Source organism: Homo sapiens, chromosome 6 (assembly GCF_000001405.40).
Source record: "Homo sapiens chromosome 6, GRCh38.p14 Primary Assembly".
Classification (NCBI taxonomy): domain Eukaryota; kingdom Metazoa; phylum Chordata; class Mammalia; order Primates; family Hominidae; genus Homo; species Homo sapiens.
Window position 1 is genome coordinate 31,158,557 of NC_000006.12, and position 5,780 is coordinate 31,164,336.

At 51.5% G+C, this 5,780-nt stretch overlaps 1 protein-coding gene across 13 annotated transcripts, besides 3 other annotated features; it reads left to right on the forward strand.

The window, feature by feature from the left end:
* On the forward strand, nucleotides 33-5,659 carry TCF19 (transcription factor 19). 13 transcript variants are annotated; one of them, NM_001438635.1, is made up of 6 exons: nucleotides 33-166; nucleotides 341-479; nucleotides 587-1,151; nucleotides 2,891-3,021; nucleotides 3,191-3,449; nucleotides 3,921-5,659. In NM_001438635.1, exons 3-5 carry the CDS (start codon nucleotides 914-916, stop codon nucleotides 3,422-3,424), a joined length of 603 nt encoding a protein of 200 aa, NP_001425564.1. In that variant the 5' UTR covers nucleotides 33-166; nucleotides 341-479; nucleotides 587-913; the 3' UTR covers nucleotides 3,425-3,449; nucleotides 3,921-5,659. The 13 variants fall into 13 exon arrangements, 12 of the variants coding, with proteins under 12 accessions (NP_001425564.1, NP_001425565.1, NP_001305837.1 ...); NR_199382.1 differs by having other exon boundaries at nucleotides 341-1,151; nucleotides 3,237-3,449; NM_001438636.1 differs by having other exon boundaries at nucleotides 341-1,151.
* Nucleotides 712-895: a silencer, noted in NCBI's record as "fragment chr6:31127045-31127228 (GRCh37/hg19 assembly coordinates)". NCBI's record gives its function as "represses an EF-1alpha promoter that drives an FKBP-Casp9 reporter gene in an ReSE screen in K562 erythroleukemia cells {active_cell/tissue: K562}" and the evidence as "EXISTENCE:reporter gene assay evidence [ECO:0000049][PMID:32094911]".
* Nucleotides 2,636-3,619: an enhancer, noted in NCBI's record as "OCT4-H3K4me1 hESC enhancer chr6:31128969-31129952 (GRCh37/hg19 assembly coordinates)". NCBI's record gives its function as "activates a minimal SCP1, AML or CMV promoter by ChIP-STARR-seq in naive and primed H9 embryonic stem cells {active_cell/tissue: H9 hESC(naive and primed)}" and the evidence as "EXISTENCE:reporter gene assay evidence [ECO:0000049][PMID:30033119]".
* Nucleotides 3,620-4,603: an enhancer, noted in NCBI's record as "OCT4-H3K4me1 hESC enhancer chr6:31129953-31130936 (GRCh37/hg19 assembly coordinates)". NCBI's record gives its function as "activates a minimal SCP1, AML or CMV promoter by ChIP-STARR-seq in primed H9 embryonic stem cells {active_cell/tissue: H9 hESC(primed)}" and the evidence as "EXISTENCE:reporter gene assay evidence [ECO:0000049][PMID:30033119]".
* Nucleotides 5,660-5,780: the final 121 nt, after the last annotated feature.

The following is a 5,780-nucleotide window of genomic DNA, read 5'->3' on the forward strand; positions in this document are numbered from 1 at the left end:
GGCGCTGCCCGCGCGCAGAGGCCGCGCCCCTCCTGGCCCCGGCTTCTTGGCTGTCAAACAGATGCAGCAACGTCGGCTCCTGCCGAGGAGCCCAAGGGGTCCCGGGATCCGCCGCACAGGCTGGCACTGCTTGAAGAGGAGGCTACTCGGAGACTGCGCCGCGCGGGTAGATCCGAAACGGGGCTGGGGCGGAGTGGGAAAAGGCCGGGTATGCCTTGCATGATCGCGGGGAGCTCCTTCCTGTTTTTATCCCACCTAGAGAAGCCGGGAAGTAGGGGTTTAGGTCCAATTTGTTGGAGTACTTAAGGACTCGTTTGCACTTTCTTTTGGGGGATGACAGTGGATTCATTGCCCTCGGAGGTTCAACCAGTTATGAGTGAGGGATTGGCCAGAAGATCGGGGCGCAGGCAAGCAGGAGTGCTCTATTAGGATAAGCAAGTTTGACAGGAAGAAGCTACTCTTCTCCGAATTACACAGAGGTGATGTGTTCGTATTGCACGTAGACGTGTGTATAACAGGACCTCCTTCCCCGCGCCCCGCCACCCCGACACACACAGGAGCTGCCTAAAGTATCCTTGCCTTGCAGATTGGAGGCTCCCCAAATATTTTGCGATCTGAGGATCCAGCTCAAGTGAGGTGCCATAGGACGTGTTCCTGAGTTTGCATTGCACGGAGACCTTCCTGGAATTTTTCATTTGCAAGTCGGCTTAACCAATTTTGCATTGAGTCCTAGGCTGCTTGCACTCTGAATTTGGGCTATTCAGGTAGTGTGCTCAAAGTTGAAACCGCATACAGCACAACTCAAGTTTGCATCAGACTGGGAAGCGAACTTAAGCCAGCGGTGCGTGGCCCAGGAGTGGGAAAGGAAATGGATGCCTGAAGTGGAAGAGGTGGTGCAGAGGGGGCACCGCCCATGCTGCCCTGCTTCCAACTGCTGCGCATAGGGGGCGGCAGGGGCGGTGATCTCTACACCTTCCACCCCCCCGCCGGGGCTGGCTGCACCTATCGCTTGGGCCACAGGGCCGACCTGTGTGATGTGGCCCTGCGGCCCCAGCAGGAGCCTGGCCTCATCTCTGGGATCCACGCCGAACTGCATGCCGAGCCCCGGGGTGATGACTGGAGGGTCAGCCTGGAAGACCACAGCAGCCAAGGTGAGCATTAAGCAGGGCAGCTTTGCCCCTGGGTGGTTGAAGCGCCAGGCTGGAATGAGTAAGGTCTCCACAAGACCCTGCTGCCTGCCTCCCATACTCCCATCAGATTGGATGGATGGTCGTGGTCCAGACCTTCATCTTCCCACCAGAAGTGTGCACAGTCAGAAGCTCTCTGCCAGACTGACCCTTTTTGGTCCCGTTTAGCTCATACAGGACCTGGGATATCATCAGAAAGATATCACAGTGGGGATGTTCTGAGGCCACTAGAGGCCAAGTTTAGACTTGATTCAGTTTCCAGCTTTGCTGAGGCACTCTGTTCCTGGGTTAGGGCAGTTCTATGTTGAATAATGTTTTTAATAATCTGGGCATGTCTTTCTCCGTGACTTGAGGCAGTTAGCCTCAGAAAGCCTAGATTCACATTTGAGTTTTGCCACTGCCTCTTGGTAAAGTCAGCTGTAGGAGTGTTATGGTTATTAGACTATAGTAGCCAACATTCATCTAGTGCTTACTGTTATGAGCCAGGCCCTATTTTAAGTGTATTGAATGTAGGTGGTACTAATATTATCCTCATTTACAGTAAAGGAAAATGAGGCACAAAGAGGTTAAGGAACTTGTCCAGGGCTGGGCATGGTGGTTTACACCTATAATCCAGCACTTTGGGAGGCTAAGGCAGGGTGGATCACTTGAGCTCAGGAGTTCGAGACCAGCCTGGGCAACATGGTGAAAACCTGTCTCTACCAAAAAATTAATTAATTTTTTTAAAAAAGCCTGGGCACGGTGGCTCACGCCTGTAATCCCAGCACTTTGGGAGGCCGAGATGGGCAGATCACGAGGTCAGGAGTTCGAGACCATCCTGACCAACATGTTGAAACCCCATCTGTGCTGAAAAAAAAATACAAAAATTAGCCAGGTGTGGTGGCGTGCACCTGTAACCCCAGCTACTCAGGAGGCTGAAGCAGCAGAATCACTTGAACCCGGGAGGCGGAGGTTGCAGTGAGCTGAGATCGCACCACTGCACTCCAGCTTGGGCGACAGAGCGAGACTCCATCTCAAACAAACAAACAAACAAAAAGCTTGCCCAGGGTCACATAACTGGTAAGTGGTAGAGCTAGGATCTGAACGAGCTGGAGCTGGGGGAGAGTGAGCATGTTTGAAAACTGGACCTTAGGGCGGGGCACGGTGGCTCACGCCTGTAATCCCAGCACTTTGGGAGGCTGAGGCGGGCAGATCAGGAGGTCAGGAGTATGAGACCAGCCTGGCCAACATGGTAAAACCCTGTCTCTGCTAAAAATAAAAAAATTAGCCAGACGTGGTGGCACATGCCTGTAATCCCAGCTACTCAGGAGGCTGAGGCAGGAGAATTGCTTGAACCTGGGAGGCGGAGTGCAGTGAGCTGAGATTGCACTACTGCACTCCAGCTTGGGCAATAGAGCAAAACTCCATCTCAAAAAAAAAAAAAAAGAAAGAAAGAAAAAAAAAGAAGAAAGAAAGAAAATTGGACCTTAGGACAGTGAGGGCAGGGATCCTTTGTAGGAAAGCACAAGAAACACAGACTTGTTCCTAGCTGACAAGGAGTGTACTGCCTGGTACCTGTCACCTGCTGAGGGGCTTAGGATGTGAGGGAGAATCTGACTACAGTTTCATATTCTTCCCCAGAAATCATACAGATTTCTCCACTCCTGACTCTGGTCATTTCTGTTTTTGTCCTCCATATTTGCCTGGTGCCCCACCATCAACAGGTACTTTGGTCAATAATGTCCGACTCCCAAGAGGTCACAGGCTGGAATTGAGTGATGGAGACCTCCTGACCTTTGGCCCTGAAGGGCCCCCAGGAACCAGCCCCTCGGAGTTCTACTTCATGTTCCAACAAGTACGAGTCAAGCCTCAGGACTTTGCTGCCATTACCATCCCACGGTCTAGGGGAGAAGCCCGGGTTGGGGCTGGTTTCCGGCCTATGCTGCCCTCCCAGGGGGCTCCACAGCGGCCTCTCAGCACCTTCTCCCCTGCCCCCAAGGCCACACTGATCCTAAACTCCATAGGCAGCCTCAGCAAGCTCCGGCCCCAGCCCCTCACCTTCTCCCCTAGTTGGGGTGGACCAAAGAGCCTGCCTGTTCCCGCCCCACCTGGGGAAATGGGGACCACGCCTTCTGCTCCACCACAACGCAATCGGAGGAAATCTGTTCACCGAGTGTTGGCGGAACTGGATGATGAGAGTGAGCCTCCTGAGAACCCGCCACCGGTCCTTATGGAGCCCAGGAAGAAACTCCGTGTAGACAAAGCCCCACTGACTCCCACTGGGTAAGTGGAGTCCTCACTTGGCCCTCTCAGTGTTTTACTGCTTTTCGATTCCTTGTATCCCTAGGCTGTGAGGAGGTCCCCCTGCCTGGGGGGATGGGCACGGGAGGTGGAATAGATGGAATGGCAAGACCTGGGTTAGCTCTGATAGGAAAAGAAAAATATGTGCAGGAGAACATGAGAGGTGGGGTGGGGCAGTGCTTATAAAACAACCGGAGTGAGCATGTCCTGCTTTTTACATTCATATGGCTTTAACCCCATTCTTCTAGTGCCTAAGGATGGGGAACTTTCAGGCTCATACTAGAGGTTTTTAGGCCCACCCTATGTGTTTTTAAGGACAGAGTCCAGGCTCACCTTAGTTCTCAGACCACTGTGCCTCTGTGGCCTCACCCTATGACCAGCCATAGGGTGGCAAGGTCTAGGCCTTCTCCTACAGGTTTCCGGTGACCCTTGTGTCTGTGTCACTTCCTTCAGAAATCGACGTGGCCGTCCTCGGAAGTACCCAGTGAGCGCTCCCATGGCTCCCCCTGCAGTTGGGGGCGGGGAGCCCTGTGCAGCTCCTTGTTGCTGCCTGCCCCAGGAAGAGACAGTGGCCTGGGTTCAGTGTGATGGCTGTGACGTCTGGTTCCATGTGGCCTGTGTTGGCTGCAGCATCCAGGCTGCCAGGGAGGCCGACTTCCGATGCCCAGGGTGCCGGGCTGGCATTCAGACCTAAGGTCCACTGCCAAGGCACCATCGGACACACCTGCCCATGAGTAGACACAGCAGCGAGCAAATAGGTCTGATAAATACCCCCCTTCCCTTCCCTCCCCAGGAGGGAATGACTACAGGGAAGAAGGATGGATTGATGTGGACTCATTCAGGGCCTGGAGCAGACCCTGGTGGCCAAGACAGAAGAGATGGTTTCCTGCCAAAGATATTGCCACCTCCAGGAAATTGCCAGTGAGCTGGAAGTTCCCACTATTACAAGCCATAAGGCCATGTTGCCATGGACACCAGAATATCTGTAGTCAGAGCACCTATCAGTTGCAAAAGCCATGCCTGCAACCGATGGAAAATGTAAGAGGGAGTTCTTAAGGTTCTTGGTGGCATCACCCAAGGCATTCTGGGAAAACCTAGGGCCTGGCCCCAAAACTTCCCTACTCTGTGGCTAGTCCTGCTGCCAACAAAATCGTAGCGACCTGGCTTTTCACAGCTTTGCTTTTATTTCCAAGTCAAGGACAAGCCGCTTCATTCACTCCTGGGCATTTACTCTTCTTGTGGGTCTGTGATATTCCTTGCTTTCCAGGGAGAATGTGCTTGGCAAGGTCTGGAGAACTAATTCAGAATCTTAGGGGAAGGGGAGAGATGGAAATACAAACCTGCTTACTGGAAAGGTGCAAATATATGGGTTGAGCTGGAGGTAGGAATACAGGTAATTAAGGTTTCTAGTTTAAGGGAAAACAGATCTATTGCCATTTAAATAAGGTAACTGGGATTTGGTTAAGTTCACAAAGATAGCAGAAGATTTATTTACAGGCTTCACCTGTACTGTCAGGGCAAGAGAAAGCCTGGTAAACCAGCTACAGCAGTTTACCAGTGTGATGGCTGTGACACAGCTCCACTCCACGGGTGGACACAGCAGAGGGCAACTGGGCTGGCCTGGTTCAGTGTGAATCAAACCGCTTAACCCACACATGGTACATGTGATTTTCTTTTGTGAGCCTTACACCAAGCCAAACTATTGTCAAAGCATCATTTCTATAGAAATAAAGCCTTATCTTGACCTGTTCTATTAAAACCTGCCACACCCGCCCTTTCCTACCTAGATTTAATGAGCCCAAGTTTTTAAAATGGAAGAAATGACTCTGGGGCAAAGACCCCTAATGAACTAGTGGCAGAGCCAGGAATAAAACTTGAGTAACTAATGAGTCACTTATGGGCAGAGTATGCAAAAACCTTAAGTGGAAACCAAATAGACCCTGGTATCAAGAAAGCACAAAGTATTAATAGAAGTTTCTGGTTGGGGTGATCTAGGTTCAACAGAAATAAGATGATTTCTAAGTATAAAGCCATTTAAGAATTCCAGAGTAGGGTGGGAAAGCAAAAAGCCAGCTCTGAACAGGTAACAGCTACATGGTGACTGAGTCTATGGGCAAAAGTTCTTGCATCACAGGCTTTTGGGAACTAGCCTATCACAGGGCCCTGTACAAATAAACTTGGCTGCAATCCCAGCTCTCCCTCTGATGTTGTGTGACCTTAAGGAGTGTAAATGGCACCTTAGTTTCAGGGTCACTTGGGTATGAGCATTGGATATTCCCATCCCTACCTCAGTAACTGAAGGACAAACCAAGA

Excerpts from the sequence above, each read along its gene's own strand:
- TCF19 (NM_001438628.1), top strand. The coding sequence starts at position 914 with ATGCTGCCCTGCTTCCAACTGCTGCGCATAGGGGGCGGCAGGGGCGGT. Across the intron at positions 1,152-2,890 it reads GGAAGACCACAGCAGCCAAG|GTACTTTGGTCAATAATGTC; the intron begins GTGAGCATTAAG and ends CACCATCAACAG. Across the intron at positions 3,450-3,920 it reads GCCCCACTGACTCCCACTGG|AAATCGACGTGGCCGTCCTC; the intron begins GTAAGTGGAGTC and ends CACTTCCTTCAG.